General features: G+C 50.5%; 1 long non-coding RNA gene across 1 annotated transcript, besides 1 other annotated feature; it reads right to left on the bottom strand.

Moving 5' to 3' along the window:
• Window positions 1-48: 48 nt before the first annotated feature.
• LINC01413 (long intergenic non-protein coding RNA 1413) lies at window positions 49-5950 on the bottom strand. Its single transcript, NR_120337.1, has 5 exons — window positions 5632-5950; window positions 4129-4295; window positions 1961-2183; window positions 1156-1242; window positions 49-238 (listed from the first exon to the last, which is right to left on the bottom strand). It is a non-coding gene; the product is annotated as a long intergenic non-protein coding RNA 1413 (long non-coding RNA).
• Window positions 1075-1582: an enhancer, noted in NCBI's record as "H3K4me1 hESC enhancer chr15:57615704-57616211 (GRCh37/hg19 assembly coordinates)". NCBI's record gives its function as "activates a minimal SCP1, AML or CMV promoter by ChIP-STARR-seq in naive H9 embryonic stem cells {active_cell/tissue: H9 hESC(naive)}" and the evidence as "EXISTENCE:reporter gene assay evidence [ECO:0000049][PMID:30033119]".
• Window positions 5951-17038: the final 11088 nt, after the last annotated feature.

Below are 17038 nucleotides of genomic sequence, written 5' to 3'. Positions count from 1 at the left end.
AAAAAAAAAAAAAAGAATGAACAAGATTGATATCTACTCATCTGAAGGTATTTTTCACAGTGTATTTATTGTTAGGTGAGCAAAACAAATAGCAGAGAATTGTATACGGTATGATCCAATTTTTGTCAAATAGTGACAAAAAGGAATGACAACCTTTATGTGTGAATATGTTTGAATGAACAAGGAGAAAAGCAGTTTTCAATAGCTGGTACCCAGGCTCCAGGCATAGGGAAAGGAACTGAAAGGATGTAAGAAAAAAGCAGTTTTAAAGAAAGCACTTACAAATAAGCACAAAAATGCATGCATCTGTGTAGTTATTGCAGGTTATCACGTAAAAGTAAAATTAAAACATCCACAAACCGTTAAAGGTCAACTTTAGAGTTTTAAAGTAATTGTGGTACAAACACACTTTGAAATTTCTCCTGCCTGTAAATGAAGACAGAAGAATGTGAGGGGAGGAGGGACCTGAGCGGGGGAGGGACAGGAGGGAGGGAGGAACCTGAGTGGGGGAGGGACCTGAGGGAGGGAGGGACACGAGGATAGGAGGGACCTGAGAGGGGGAGGGACCTGAGGGGGGAGGGACATGAGGGGGTGAGGGACACAGCGGTGGGGGAACACAAGCTGAGGAGGGATAGGAGGTTGGGAGGGACCTGAGGGGGAGGAAGACACGAGGCGGGGAGGGACCTGAGATGGGGAGGGACATGAGGAGGGGAGGGACCTGTGATGGGGAGGGACATGAGGAGGGGAGGGACCTGTGATGGGGAGGGACATGAGGAGGGGGAGGGACCTGAGAGGGGGAGGGACACAAGGGGAGGAGGGACACAAGGGGAGGAGGGACACAATAGGGGGAGGGACATAAGGGGAGAGGGACATGAGTGGGGGAGGGACAGGAAGTGTGGAGGGACGTGAAGTGGGGGGACCTGAGGGGGGAGTTCTGACTGAGGAGGAGGAGCACAGGGTCCCAGTTGAGGGGAAGGACAGTTAAAGACAGAAAACAGGTTTTCTCCTTTTCCTTTCTCCTCCTCCCTTTTCTCTTCACCTCCTCCCCTCCTTTCTTTCTCCCCCTCTGCACCCTCCCCTCTTCTTCCTGCCCTCTTTCTCTCCCTCCTCCTCCTCCAGGAAACTCTGCCTGGCTGAGTGGGATCTGTTCTTTACCCAGGGCGTGTCTGTCTCCAGGGAGCTGATGAGCCTCTAGGGAGAGGGCAGGCCAGGTCTCACTCCTCCTCCTGCCCTTCCCAGGATCTGTGAGATAAGTGACATGTCATCCAAGGTCACAAAATTTATTAACCCAAAAAACAGGCCTAAGATCCCACTCCCCCCAACCCACAGGCCCAAGCCACTGCATCAGGTGGCTGGAAGACATCAACGTGGGCAGATGTTCTGACTGATCAGAAACCCCTGCGGCAGGAATTGCTCTGCGGGCCTCTCATAAATGGAAGGCACCCCCAGTCCCGCCTCCCTGGGAGCCCATTGCTGAGTTTTCATTTTCCTGCTGGGAGGGCTCAGGGAGCACTGGGTCCTGGCACTTTGTGCCTCAGAGACGCTTCCAAACAAGCTGCCTGGTCCTTTGACCACATGGTGGCTGCCCGGGAACACCGGTTGGCTTCCTCTACCTCTCCGTACCCTTCCTCTGGCCACAGTATGTCTCCCCAAGGGCTACTAGGATGGAGGGTGCCTGGTGGGGGGCGGGTACCCTGCCAAGGCCTGCTCCCCACCCACCGTGGCCTCTGCCTGCGAGAACTCAAAGGGGTTACAGAAGTCTGCAGGGGTCCCCGGGAGAGTCTCCAACACCCCTTCCCCATGCTCTTGAGCTCAGCGGATGCCCCGTTTGTTTATTTGCATGAGCTAGAAACTTGGGACTCAATCCTGACAATTCCTTCTCTTTCATCCCATGGGAATTCATGGCCAAGCCTTGCCCTTTTCATCTCCCAAATGCCCCCCGAGCCCATTCCTCTCTCACCGTCCCTGTCCAAGTTGCCCCCATCTCCTGGCTGGACCCCTGCAGGAGCCCCAGGTGCACCCCTGTTTCTCTTCTGCCTCCCTCCCAGCCAGCTGACTGGGGTTGTCTGGAGTCTGGAGGGGAGGCCAGGGGGTATGGCTCCTTCAACACAGTTTCTCCCAGGCAGCTGGGGCGGAGACCCAGTGCTCCAGGCCATTCTTCACTAACAGCCAGCATGATTGTCCTGAAATAAAAATTGGATCTGTTACTCCCCTTTTTAAACCCTCAAAGGATTCCCAGATGGCTCCTCTGATCAAGACACACCGTCTACCTCTCCCAGCCTCAAGAGGCCAGCCCAGCCCACTCAACTCTCCTGGGAACAGCTCCCTTCCATGCCCCCAGCTCCGTGTTCATCCTTCCAGACCCCAGGCAAGCTCTCAGGAAGCCGTTTTCTCTTCCTTCTTTACCCTTCCCTGTTTCTAATCACGCGTGGGTGAACGTGATCATTTAATTCATGTCTTCCCGTATCGGAATTTGTCATTGTCACAGCACACGCTAATCATTCCAGAATATTTGTTGAATTGAAGGGCTAGCGAATTGCAATCGCATTCAGGTGAAGGCAGTGACCGTGGATACGGGATTGGAAAGATCACGACCCCCAAACTCAGGATTCCAGGAAGGGTTCTTGAAAAGGGGGCCATCTTCATTGACAGCTGAAAGACTAACAGGACGTCTTCAGGCCAGGGCACTGGGGTAGGAGGGGTATTCTTTGCTGGTAGCAGGTGCGAACAAGGCCCTGGCGGCTGGGAGGATAGAACAATAAGTAATCCACAGGAAATGGTGAGAGGGAGATAACACAGAACCGTTGGGCTGGGATCAGGTTACCCGGAGCCTTCAGCTCAAAGCTGAGAAGGCTGGGCTTGGTGCTGTGGGCCACGTGGAATCCTGGAACGCTGATTTTAGCATGGAGAGCCCCTTACTGGTATTCCTAGCACAGGTGCAGTACACAAGCATCATTGCTGGAAGGGACCCAAGCTCATTCAAGCTCAGCCCTTTTACCTGGCAGATGAGAAAGTTGAGAGAGAGAGTGACTTTCTCAAGGTCACACAGCTGACAGCCAGTGTGGTACTCTTTTCTAAACAAAAGAAGGATCATCTCAATCAGGTGTCCACCTGATTTGAGCTCCTCATCATTCTTTCTCCTTGTCACTCCCAACAGCCAACTTTCTTTTTTCTGATGTTGGAAAATAAGTTTGTTCATAAAAGTATTCCTCCTGGCTCCTGCTCTGTTGGCCCTAGCTGCTTAGAAGACCTGGCTTCCCGGCCTAAGTAACTGTATGTACTCACATATAAGGGGACCTGGTTCAGTCCCTCCACTCTGTGTACCTTACTTTCCAGTCTATACTGCTAACCCCAGGCTTCCAGGAGAATCAATGCAGGGAAAGCCCTCTGCCTCGCCAGGCATAATACAGATGAATGTGCAAAGGCCATGTGGCACTCTTGGACTAATAACTTCACCCAGCCAGCGAGGCCCAGAAGTGGCCATGAAGACCCTTTTGGAAACTCTGACAGTAACTCTCCAGGTTAGCCTAGCTAGACATACCTTTTCTTTTCTTTTCTTTTCTTTTTTTCTTTCTTTTTTTTTCTAAGAGAAGATCTCATTCTGTCTCCCAGGCTAGAGTGCAGTGGCACAATCATGGCTTACTGCAGCCTCAACCGCCTGGGCTCAAGTGATCCTCCAGCCTCAACCTCCCGAGTAGCTGGGACTACAGGCATGCACCACCACACCTGGCTAGTTTTTTTGTTTTAATTATTTGTGGAAACAAGGTTTCACTACGTTACTCAGGCTGGTCTCAAACTCCTGGGTTCAAGTAATTCTCCCACCTCAGCCTCTCAAAGTGCTGGGATTGCAGATGTGAGCCAGTGTGTCAGGCCTTAGTTAGCCATTTCTAAGTTATTTTTAACACCTGTCCTCAGATGTCACAAAGAAGCAAATGGTGGTGCCAGGGCACCTGAGCCACTGGTGGGTTTCGTCCACGCGTGAGGATCAAAGAGGAAAAGAAGAAAAGCCCGCCAACTGCAGCCCGTCACAGTTCCTCTTTTAAACCCTATTAGATCATATCGTCCCCAAGGATTGACTTTGTTCCTGCTTAAAGGACTTGTGAGTCATTATTTTTTCTGAAAACTTACTTTACAAATGAAGGAATCCCCATAGCAACCGTTCTATGTCCTTGGAGCCAAGAGAAGGAAGTACAGTGAGAGACTCTCGGTCTCCTGAGGAGCCAAGGCCTCTTGTTTACCGACGTCTGAGAGACCACGAAATTGGCCTGATCTTCAGATTTCAGTTGAGGCAGAGGCTAAAAGGAACATCTACATGGAGAGCATAGCCAGGGATGTCAGCACCAGAGCAACGCGTAGGGAGCGCAGAGGAGGCCTGGGCCGCCTTGAGGTCTGCAGGCCGGGGAGGCCGTCACCTGATCTCTTCAGGAAGTGCCTGGGCCTAGGCCTGGTCCCAGACCCCTCCCCAGGCTGCTCTGGGGGGGACTTCCCTCCCTTCCCTTTCTTCCCTTTCCACCTTCCTTTTTTTCCCCTTGTATCACAAAGCATCTCCTCTGTCCTTGACAGAATGGGAAGAGAATTGGAAAAACCACCACAGGTCACTGTTGGTCTCTGGCGCTCAATTCATGGGGAGGAAACCTGGCTGGGCGCCCTCCTTCCGGGCGAGCAGGAACGGAGGGGCTGTGCTGGTCCCAGTAGAGGAGTGGGGCATGTGTGTGTGCATGTGTGTCATGCATGTGCGTGTGCGTGCGTGCATGCGTGTGCGCGTGTACGTGTGCGTGCAAGTGCATGTGTGCTTGCATGTGTGTGCATGTGTCGTGTGTGCACGTGTGTGCGTGCGTGTGTGCATGTGTGTGTGGATGTGTGTGTGCTGTCACCACGGTGGTGACGGCCTGGTGCCATCAGCTCTCTAGAGAGCAGTCCTTCTCTTCCCACACCACCCGCCACTGCTCCTGCCACCCTCCCCTGGAATCAACTTTGACGAGCACCTGTTTATAGCTTCAGGGGTTTCTACAGGGCCCCGGCAGGCAAGTGGCCAAGATGGGCTTCAACTCCTGACACAGGAACTCTCACATGTCCTCCCACCCACCAGCCCACCCTGAAACCTCCAAGGCACAGAGAAGCAAGGGGCTGGGAAGTGGAGGGTCTGGGCCGAGCCCAGCTGGAGGCAGAGGGCGCTTTCCCACCGTCTGGGGGTGCGCCTGTCCCTCTCCTGTTAGGCTAGGTGCCTTCCGCGGCCCACCTGGTCCACACCACCCTCCTCCGTTCTGGGTCCGGGTCCGTTCCGGCCTGCCCTACTCACCCTGACCAGCCACACCCACTTTGCTTTGGGGCTTCTCATGGGGAGCCCAGTGGAAGGGAATGACAGAGTCTCAGGCTGGGTGGGGCATGGGTCTCCTGAGCACGGCCCGCCCGCCGCCTCCTGGCTTCCATCTCTCACAGCAGGAGCAGGGCCACCACCTGCCGCCTGAGCCTGTGCCAGCTGTTTCCCACTCCCGCAGAACAGACCCTCACCTGGGGGTTGGGTTTGCCCTCCCCTGCGGAGGGAGGGAAGGAGGGGAGCAGGAGGATGGGGAGGCACAGCCACCCCGGCGGAGGGGTAGGAAACCCGGATACTCTCTACCTGTTTCCTACCTGGACACCCAGAGCTCGGGGCAGCAGACCCCAGACTCCAGGAGCTTTCCCCTGCGGGGCGGCGGGGCGTCCACACCCAGGTACGCGGGGCCACGCCACCGTCAGCCGCTTCTCCCCACCTGTGCTCCGCGTGCTGACCGCGTGTGCTTGGGCTGCAGTTTGCTCCTCGCGGCGTGCCCTGCTCACTGCTCACCATCCCAAAGAAAAAGACAAATGACAGCCCCTTGTTCCCCACCCATATTTTAAGGGAAAAATACTGTGCAAACGGCTTCACATGCGTCTCCGTTTCCAAGCTCCAAGATGGCTGCTCTCAGTACCGCCTCCTTCTTCAGTGTCCCTTCCTGTTCACCATCCATTCACGGCACATTTCCTCAGCCCCACTCTGTGCCTCGGCCTGTGTCTGCTACTTGGAAAAAGGCAAGTTCCTGTGCTCAACTCTGAGCAACTGTTGCTGAGGAAGGAATCAATCCCTTGGGGAGGCTGCCCACCAGGGGCGGATGAGATGTGGGGGTGTGCGGCCACCGCCCTTCTCCCTCCTTCCCTCTTCCTTCCTCCCTCCCCCTTCTTCCTTCCTCCTTCCTCCCTCTTCCTTCCTTCACAGGGGCCTGCTTTACTTTCTGGAGTCAGGTTTAACTGTGTCCATTCAGGCTGCTATAACAAAAATACCATAAACTGGTTGGCTTTTAAAAAATAGAAATGTACAGCTCACAGTTCTGGAGGCTGGGAAGTCCAAGATCAAGGTGCTGGTAGATCTGGTATCTAGTAAGGGCCTGATTTCTGGGTCATAAATGGCCTTTCTTTTATTATTATTATTATTATTATTATTATTATTTTATTTTAAAGACAGGGTCTTTCTTTGTTGCCCAGGCTGGAGTGCAGTGGTGCGGTCATAGTTCACTGCAACCTCAAACTCCTAGGCTCAAGCAATCCTCCCAGCCTCTTGAGTAGCTGGACCTACAGGCACACACCACCACACCAGGCTAATTTTTTTTTAAAGATGGAGTCTCATGCTGTTGTCCAGGCTGGAGTGCAGTGGCACGATCTCGGCTCCCAGCAACCTCCGCTTCCCAGGTTCAAGCAATTCTCCTGTCTCAGCCTCCCAGGTAGCTGGGACTACAAGTGCGCACCACCACATCCAGCTAGTTTTTGTATTTTTAGTGGAGTTGGGATTTCACTGTGTTGGCCAGGCTGGTCTTGAACTCCTGACCTCAAGTGATCTGCCTGCCTCAGCCTCCCAAAATGCTGGGATCACAGGCGTGAGCCATTGTGCCTGGCCTAATTTTTGTGTTTTTTGTAGAGACGTGGTTTCCCTATGTTGCCCAGGATGGTCTCGAACTCCTGACCTCAAGTGATCCTCCCACCTTGGCCTCCCAAAGTGCTGGGATTACAGGCAAGAGCCATCAACGCCTAGCCAGCGACTTCTCACTGTAACCTCACATGGCAAAAGAAACGATGGTTCTCTCTGGGGCCTGTTTCATAAGGGCATTAATCCCATTCATGGAACTTCACTCCTTATGGCCCAATCTTCTCCCCAAAACCCTACCTCCTAATATCATCGACTTGAGGGTTAAGATTTCAACATACGAATTTTGGGGGACACAGACATTAGGACCACAGCAAACAGTAAGCCTCTTCATCTTACTAATGAATATCCCTGGGGCGAAGTTTGACCCTGGGTAATGAAATGAGTGGTTAGTTGTTCAAATGTCACCCATAATGCCACAGAAATGGGGCTCTTCCCTCAGGCTAAGCACAGCTCCCTCTAGCCTTGTTGGTGGACTGCCTTGGTGATGGGCCTGCCTTCCCCACTAGGCTGAAAGTGATTTGAAAACTCTCTTCTAACCTCCAGCCCCACCCATGTACCTTACAAATCTCAGTGATTGACCCCCTGCCTGGCACAGAGTAGATTGAAAACAGTATGGAAGTGACCAGACCTTACCCGATGGGCAGAGGGAGCTCAGAGATGGGAACAGAGCTGGTCCTAGGGCACCCAAGGGGCATATCCTGGCCATGCCACTTCCCACCTAGATAGGCTCTGTCCTGAACATCCTCGATTATAACGCAGGAATAACAATGCCCACATCATGGGATTGCCAGGAGGATCATAGATTATGTACAGAAAACTGGAGCAACAGGTGGCAGGCACTCTCCCACAGAGGGTTCTCTAAAGCAGCTCTCAGATTTGCAGTTGAAATTTCCAAGGAAGAGGTTCCGAGTCAACAAGCATTTTTTGACGGAAGCAAAAACTACTGTGAACCCAACACTGCTCTAAAAAATAAAGTAAATTTAAAAAGAACAGGGAGATTTAGGATCACTGTGGAAGTTCCTGATCCTCTGTGCTAAGTGCTGGGGCACTGAGGCCTGAGAACAAGGGCGTGATGATTGAGGAGAAGGGAAGGAGAGAGCAGAAGTGGGCAGGACCAGTTGGGGGCAGAGAACCTAGAGGGGCCAGGCGGGGCCTCACAGTGGGGACCGAGTGGGGAACAGAGGGCCCTGCGGAGATTCACCCATAGACCAAGCAGGAGAACATAGCTTCTGCTGGTGGATCCTACGACTGCCAGAATGTTGGCTGTAACTTAAAGCCAAGGAGGGTGGCTTTAAGGCTTGGAAGGAATAGGCTCCCTCTTCAACGACCCTGGGAGAAGAAAGAGGGAGATGAGCCAAGGACTGGGGTCAGCAAGAAGTCCCACACCCTGGCAGGGCCTAGGAGAGGGTTCCCTGGAGCAGAGGGAAGTGACAGCAGGGGCACCCCCAGAAATGACTTGTTCCAGAAATGACACCAAGTCCTTTCTGGGGATGACCCCGCTGACTTGGGCCTGCAAAGGGTAAGGCAGGGCTGAGGCCACCCTGGCATGCATGTGGCGACAGGCAAGTGGAGGGCAAGCATGAAGTGCCACTTCAGGCCCAGGAAGGCCAATGGGCAGGGGCTTTTGGTCAGTGTGTCCCATGCACACGGTGAGTAAAGAAGGGATTTCCTGCTTCCAAATGAGGTGAGGTTCTGACTTCAATGACCAGGAACTTACACGTTGATTAATCCTAAATTATTTTTTTCTGTTTTAATACAGTTTATTTTTTAGAGCAGTTTTAAATTCACAGTAAAATTGAGCAGAAAATACGGAGATTCCCCACATCCTCCCTGAGCCCATGCATGCTTCGCAGCCCTCATTATTAACACTCCCACCAGAGCGGTACATTTGTTGCAAATGGTGAACCTACACTGACACGTTATAATCACTCAGAGTCCACTGTCACTCAGTTTACATTAGGGTTCACTCTTGGTGTTGCGTAGTCTATGGGTTTGCACCCATTTCTAATATGTGTCCACCAGTATAGTAATATACACCGTAGTTCCAAAATATACAGAGAACTTACAACTCAAGAATCCAGCCCGGGCAACAGAAGGAGACCTCATCTCTACAAAAAATAAAAAATTAGCAAGGCATGGTGGCGCATGCCTGTAGTCCCAGTTACTTGAGAGGCTGAGGTGGGAGGATAGCTTGAGCTCAGGAGGTCAAGTCTGCAGCGAGCTGTGATTATGCCACTGCACTCCAGCCTGGGTGACAGAGCAAGACCCCATCTCAAAACAAAAACAAAAACTCAACAATGAGAAAACAGACAACGTGATTTTACAGTGGACCAGAGACCTTTATAGACGCCTCACCAAAGAAGTTATACAGATGCAAAATAAACATGAAAAGATGCTCCACATCATATGTTACAGGGAAATGCAAATTAAAACACCAATGCCACTGCACACCTATGAGAACAGCCAAAATCCAGAACACCAACAACATCCAGTGCTGGTGAGGATGTGAGGCAACAGGAGCTCTCATTCATTGCTGATGAGAATGCAGCCACTGTGGAAGACAGTTGGGAAGTATCTCACAAAACTAAGCATACTCCTACCATCCCATCCAGCAATCACACTCCTTGGTATTTACTCAAATGGGTTAAAAACTTATATCCATGCAAAAACCCGCCCATGAATGTTTATAGCAACTTTATTCATGATTGCTGAAACTTGGAAGCAACCGAGATGTCCTTGTGCAACCAAGATGTAGGTGACTGGATATATAAACTGTGGTACACCCAGGCAACGAAATATTGTTCAGCACTAAAGAGGAGCTACCAAGCCATGACAAGACGTGGAGGAAACTTATTGTCAAGTGAAATAAGCCCATCTGAAAAGGCTACGGAATGTATGATTCCAACTAGATGACATTCTGGAAAAGACAACACTATGGAGACAGTAAAAAGATCAGTGGTCGCCAGGGCTTAGCGGGAGGGAAGGATGAGTAGGTCTGCAACACAGAAGATTTTTAGGATACTGAGTTCCTTTTTTATTTTATTTTATTTATTTTTGAGACAGAGTTTCTCTCTTGTTGCCTAGGCTGGAGTGCAATGACACGATCTCAGCTCATTGCAACCTCTGCCTCCAGGGTTCAGCGATTCTCCTGCCTCAGCCTCCCGAGTAGCTGGGATTACAGGCGCCTGACACCATGCCTGGCTAATTTTTCTATTTTTAGTAGAGACAGGAGTTTTGCCATGTGGGCCAGGCTGGTCTCGAACTCTTGACCTCAGGCATTCTGCCCGCCTTGGCCTCCCAAAGTGCTAGGATTACAGGTGTGAGCCACCATGCCTGACCGTGAGTTCCTTTTTTAAAAGATGAAATGCTACAGCCCAAATGCCCATCAGTGGATGCATGGATAAACCAAATGAGACATCGCCATACAATTATTCGGTCACAAAAAAGAATGAAGTATTTACACATGCTACAGCTCGAATAAGCCTCAAAAACATGGGGCTGAGTGCAATAAGCCTGACCAGAAAAGGTCACATATTGTATGATTCCATGTATATGAAATATCCAGAAGAGGCAAATCCATACAAACAAAAAGCAGATTCGTGTTGGCCAGGACCCCAGGGAAGGAGGGGATGGGGAAGTAACTGCTTAATGGGTGTAGCATTTTCATTTGGGGTGATGAAAATATTTTGAAATGTGATACAAGCGGAATGTCCTAAATTCACAATGTTAACATTCAACATCATGAATGTCATTAAATCCCACTGAATTGTACACTTTAAAATGATTAATTTTGGCCAGGTGCAGTGGCTCACACTTCTAATCCCAACACTTTGAGAAGCTGAAGTGGGAGGATTGCTTGAGCCTAGGAGTTCAAGGCCAGCCTGGGCAATGTAGGACCCCATGTCTAGAACAAATTAAAAAATTAGCCGGGGGTGGTGGTGCATATCTATAGTCCCAGCTACTCAGGAGGCTGAGGCAGGAGGATCACTTGAACCTGGGAAGTTGAGGCTACGATGAGCGATGATCATGCCACTGTGCTCCAGCCAGGGTGACAGAGTAAGACCCTGTCTCAAATAAAATAAAATAAAATGGTTAATGTTAGGCCAAGGCAAGAGGATCACTTGAGGCCAAGAGCCCAAGACCAGCCTGGGCCACAAATCGAGATCCCATCTCTATGAAAAGTTTAAAAAACTAGCTGGGTGCATCTGTAGTCCTAGCCACTTGGAGTCTGAGGCAGCAGGATCGCTTGAGTCTGGGAGGTCAAGGTTACAATGAGCTATGATCGCTTCACTGCACTCCAGTCTGGGCGACAGAGAAAGACCTTCTCTTTAAAAAAATAAAAGAAATAGGCCGGACGCGGTGGCTCACCCCTGTAATCCCAGGACTTTGGGAGGCCAAGGTGGGCGGATCACTTGAGGTCAGGACTTAGAGACCAGCCTGACCAATGTGATGAAACCCTGTCTCTACTAAAAATACAAAAATTAGCGAGGCATGGTGGCGGGCACCTGTAATCCCAGCTACTCGGGAGGCTGAGGCAGGAGAATTGCTTGAACCCGAGAGGCAGAGGTTGCAGTGAGCCGAGATCACGCCATTGCACTCCAGCCTGGGCAACAAGAGCAAAACTCCATCTCAAATAAATAAGCAAATAAATAAATAAAAGAAATAAAAGAAAAAATGGTCAATTTTATGACTTTATATTATGTACATTTCACCTCAATTTTTTTTAAAGTTTGCACGTTTAAAAAGCAAGATGAAATGCTGTGAGGGATTCTTCGACCACAGTTCAGCTCCTCAGGAAGGCAGGACTTACTCTCCCAGCTGCTGGGCGCTACCCACAGACAGGCCACAGCTGTCAGCGCCTTCCCTTCCCTCCCTTCTCCTCCCCTCGTGTCCCCTCGCCTCCCCTCCTCTTCCCAGGTGTGGACCCCAAGAATTAGCTCTGATCTTCCCAGGTGTTGACCCCAAGAATTCACCCTAAAGAAACCTCTTTCGTGCCAACCTCCCTCTCTGAGATGGCTTTCTGGGGACCCCTGCACTGCAATCCCATATGTGAAAGCTTTATGTACACATGCAAATAGTGGGATCATAATCTTACTGCCTGGGGACCGGAGGCCAGAATGTACTCTTTGTCCTCACGTAGGACAGACTGCAAGGGCCCCGGTGCCTCTGGTGTTTCTGTTTTTATCATATGAGGAGCAGGTTTGCAGAGTAGGCCCTGTTGTAGCATTTTGGTTTCGCAGTTGCTTTGGAATGCTGCCAGGACAGGGCCTCCGACAGTGGGGAGCTCTGGAAAGACATTCACCCAACCACTCTGATCCCCCAGGTTACTCGTTCCAAGGCTTTTAAAAATAGAAGTGTGAAAACCATTTAATTGCCAAGACACTGTAAGGTTCTGGCTTCTATGGCCATGGCCAAGTTGGAAATGCAGCCTTGGAGATGCATGTGGAAAACAAGTGCTTGTTTTTCCCCCTCGCCTCTGACTCAGATGTGGCAGTCACACTCAGTGAATGTCATCTCGTTCCCAGGCCAAGAGTCATGTGCTGGGCAGTGGTCACTGGACCATTGGTGTGGCAAAGAGGTCGGCTCTTGGTACTGTAATTACACCTGGCGGCGGGGGTTTCCGAAGCAGCCTCTCCTTCCACCTTTGAGCCCAATGAACTGGGCTAGAGATGGGAGTGGCAGAGCTCAGGCCTTGGGAACTCAGGCAAGCCATGCAATCAGGGCCTCAACATTTCTGCCGTCTTATCTTCAAAACGCAAACATCAGAACCGCCTATTTCCACAGGTCCAAGCAAGTGTTTTGAAAAAGCATTTTAAGAGCCTGGGATAAAGAAGGATAACATATCAAGAATGTTCTTAAATGCAGCAAATTGAAATGTGTGATATTTTGCAGAATCAGGCTTGACGTTTACTTTGGTGGAAATTATGAGGGCAGAGTAGGCTGAGCACATGATGATGTAAACAAGATGTCGCTGTAGAGGAGAAGGAACAGGCTTTTCCAAAGCTACAAAAAGCTTTCATTTCCGTCTAGTAATTGATAAGTTCATGATAAACCATTTTCATGACTTCATTAAAGATCCCGAAGGAGTTGTCCACCTGAAACTTATCTCGCCTAAATTTCCACATGCGCTGGAAATAATAAAACTGTTTCATTTAAAAGATATAATTCAGATTGCATTTTACTAATTTGGTGAGGCTTCCTCCACTTAAGAGAGATTGTAGTTGATGAAACACCACATCAGTTATGTAAAATATTAAGACATTGATGATGTGGAAACAATATAAGTGATATTATGTTGAAGGACAGTTGACTCAGTTTTGTTGATGGAGTGCAATGCCAACACCAGCTGGTGTCAGCTTCCCAACGGGTGCCACAGTGACCACACTGAACGGCTAGGCCACCAGAGGTGGGGAAGTGTCTCCAGGAAGAGCTGCCGGGATGGGAGGCGGATCCCACTAAGCCTAACCTGGATTCTGGGTATAGCTGTGTCTGATAATTTCTGCGCCATCAGCCTCCAGCAAAACATTTGCTGTTTTGTGTGGGAAAGAAAGGAAGCAATAAGAAGTGTGTTTTGGGGCTGGGCGCAGTGGCTCACACTGTAATCCCAGCACTTTGGGAGGCCAAGGCAGGTGGATCACTCGAGGTCAGGAGTTCAAGACCAGCCTAGCCAACATGGCGAAACCCTGTCTCTATTAAAAATGCAAAAAATAGCCAGGCATGGTGGTGAGCACCTGTGATCCCAGCTACTCAGGGGGGGTGAGGCAAGAGAATCACTTGAACCTGGGAGGTGGAGATTGCAGTGAGCTGAGATCACGCCACTGTGCTCCAGCCTGGGCGACACAGTGAGACTATCTCAAAAAAAAAAAAAGTGTATTTGGGGTGAAGGTGCCTGGGAGCAGAGGTGAGAGAGGTGAGGAGCGGAAAGAGCTGTGTGGAGCCTGTTTCCCAGCATGGCCCCAGGAGCTAAGTCTTTCCCCAGCAGAGAACAGCCTAGTGGCCATTTTCACAAGCGTCTTGGTGAAGTACAGAGCACAAGTCGAGGCTCCAGGCCTCAGTGAGATAGCAGGACACGGACTGGAGAGCGGCCCTCATAGACGCATGTGGAGCACAGTGTGACCACAGGGGCACTGAAGCAATTACGGCACCGTTTAGCTACTTGTGAGGTTTGCTCTGAGAGGACACAGAGCTGGAGGCAGCACCTCAGAGAAGCCATGGCAGTGAGGGGACAGCACTCGTGTGTCCTTCATCATCAACACACACACACACACACACACACACACACACACACACACACACACATCACCCCAAGGCTCCAGTGGGAGGCTATGAAAGGACTGGGAGTGGGGCCCGCGAGACTGCATCTGGAGGTTCCCAGGAGGGCCTGGATGCGTTTATGGGGAGCCTCCGTGGTTCTGGGTTTTGCGAGTAAAGGGGGTCGATGAGGGAATGAATGCCCACAGAACTCTGTGGCTATGAACTTGACTAGCATTGTCCTGGCTTTGGTGGGAAGGTGAGACTGGGAAAAACAAGGCAGATGCAAATCCCGAAAAGCAGGCTTGAGATTCTATGGCTAAAATCCCCAGAAAGACTTCCGGCTTGTTCCAGGCACTTTCCGGGAAGAGGACCGGGCAAGAGAAGAGTTTGTAGTTCACATTGTTAGCAAAGGCAAGGCAGCCATGAGCACGTCTCACTCCGAGTTTAAACTCCTCGTTCAGGGTAGTTTTGGGGATATTGTTATTCTGCGCAAGTAACTCTGGGCTAAATGGCAATCAGGGTGGGATTTAGTGTTCCTCCAAAGCCCGCTCTGCATCTGGAGGTCTACGCAGAGAGGTTTGCTTTGAAGGAGATGACACAGCTGCACTGTCTCCCGTCTCCCTCTTCTTCTACCCCCAGGAAAAATGTGGGCCAGGACTCGTCTTAGGGTGTTAAGACAGAGCCAAAAGGATCACCGCCAAAATGGATAAGATTAAAAAGTGATCCTCCAGCTCCTTCCTATTTTACTAGCAGGATAATCGATGGGCTCGGCACAGAGACCTGACACTGCAGTGAGAGAGGGTGGCACCAGCTTGAATGATGCAAGCAGCATTTTATCGTAAAAAAAAATTTTTAAATTTGCAGTTCACTTTGAAATACAGGAAGTAATTCTTTTTCAGAAAGATTCATCTTCCCCACTTTGTCCTCTTAGTCTTTTTGAATGAACATGACTACTTTGAGCAGGTACCAGCCAGATGAGCACGGCAAGAAAGTTGGGGGCCGAGGTAGGGGGTGTTGTAGGGGGGCCTGTGGGAGGTTAGCCTCTTTCCAAGAATGTTCAACCCAAGGACTGGATAAGCCTAGACCGGGTTTGTACAAGATTTCCCCATTGAACAGCATCCTCCACGGGGTTCCCCATAAACTCTATTTATGAATCTAGAGCTGCAGTTATTGAATAATTATTGGAACATAGATCAGAATTTTTGGTTAAAAAAAGGCAGGTAAGGGCCAGGCATGGTGGCTCACGCCTGTAATCCCAGCACTTTGGGAGGCCAAGGCGGGTGGATCACGAAGTCGGGAGATCGAGACCATCCTGGCTAACACGGTGAAACCCCGTCTCTACTAAAAATACAAAAAATTAGCTGGGCGTGGTGGTGGGCACCTGTAGTCCCAGCTACTCGGGAGGCTGAGGAAGGAGAATGGCGTGAACCAGGGAGGCGGAGCTTGCAATGAGTGGAGATCGCACCACTGCACTCCAGCCTGGGCGATGGAGCGAGACTCTGTCTCACAAAAAAAAAAAAAAAAAAAAGGTAGGTAAGGTCAGGGTAGAGACACAGTGGGTTAGAGAGCCCTAGGGGATGGGGTGCTGCTGGTTTCTACTGTAAACCTTGAGTTCAAAAAAGTATCCATGAGTGTAGATCAAGGGGCTCTAAGTCCTTCCCGTTGACAAGAACTATTTGCAAGGGCAGACCAAGCAGATCCACTCACGGGGACCCCTCTCCCCCAGCAGCACCTCCATGCTGTGCAGGTCTCAGCAGCGCTTTGTTAGCAACCTCGGTCCCACCATCCTGGTCTGCAGCCCTCTCAGCTCTGTCTCACTGTTGCTTGTCGGATTGTCACCCCACACAAGCTCAAGGTCTGTAGTTCTGGCAATCATTTCTGTGAATGGAAGTGGAGGTGGTGGTGGGTGTATGGACTGATTTGAGTCCCCCTCAAATTCACATGTTGAAATCCTAACTGTAGTAATGCACAATGTGATTGTATTTGGAGACGGCTGGGCGTGGTGGCTCACACCTGTAATCTCCGAACTTTGGGAGGCCGAGGCGGGTGGATCACTTGAGGTCAGGAGTTCAAGACCAGCGTGGCCAACATGGTGAAACGCCGTCTCTCCTAAAAATACAAAAAATTAGCCAGGGGTGGTGGCGCACGCCTGTAATCCCAGCTACTCGGGAGGCTGAGGCAGGACAATTGCTTGAGCCCCAGAGGCAGAGGCTTGCAGTGAGCTGAGATGGCGCCACTGCACTCCAGCCCAGGCAACATAGTGAGACCCTGTCTCAAAAAAAAAAAAAAAAAAAAAAAAAAAAAAAGATAGAGTCTTTAAAGACACGAGTAAGGTTAAACAAGGTCATATGGTGATCCCTAACCCAATGTGACTGAGAGGAGATCAGGACACTGACAGGCGTAGAGGGAAGACCCTGTGAAGACACAGGGAGAAGAGGCTCTTGACAAACCAAGGAGACGGGCCTCAGAAGAAATCAGCACTGTGGACACCTTGATCTCAGACTTCTGGTCTCCAGAATTATGAGCATACACATTTCTGTGGTTGAATCCCCCAAGCTGTGGTGGTTTGTTATGGCAGTCTTAGCAGGCTAAAGCAGTGGAGACGGGTGCTAGAACTCCTGAGAAGGCCAGCGTTGAGGACACATGGGAAGGGGTGATCTGTAGAAAGACTATTGGGGAAGGCAGGGGTGCGCTGAGGACACATGGGAAGGGGTGATCTGTAGAAAGACTACTGGGGAAGGCAGGGGTGCGCTGAGGACACATGGGAAGGGGTGATCTGTAGAAAGACTATTGGGGAAGGCAGGGGTGCGCTGAGGACACATGGGAAGGGGTGATCTGTAGAAAGAC

Source organism: Homo sapiens, chromosome 15, assembly GCF_000001405.40.
Source record: "Homo sapiens chromosome 15, GRCh38.p14 Primary Assembly".
Classification (NCBI taxonomy): domain Eukaryota; kingdom Metazoa; phylum Chordata; class Mammalia; order Primates; family Hominidae; genus Homo; species Homo sapiens.
Note: the sequence above shows the minus strand (reverse complement) of the source record. Positions and strands in the feature narration are given on the sequence as shown.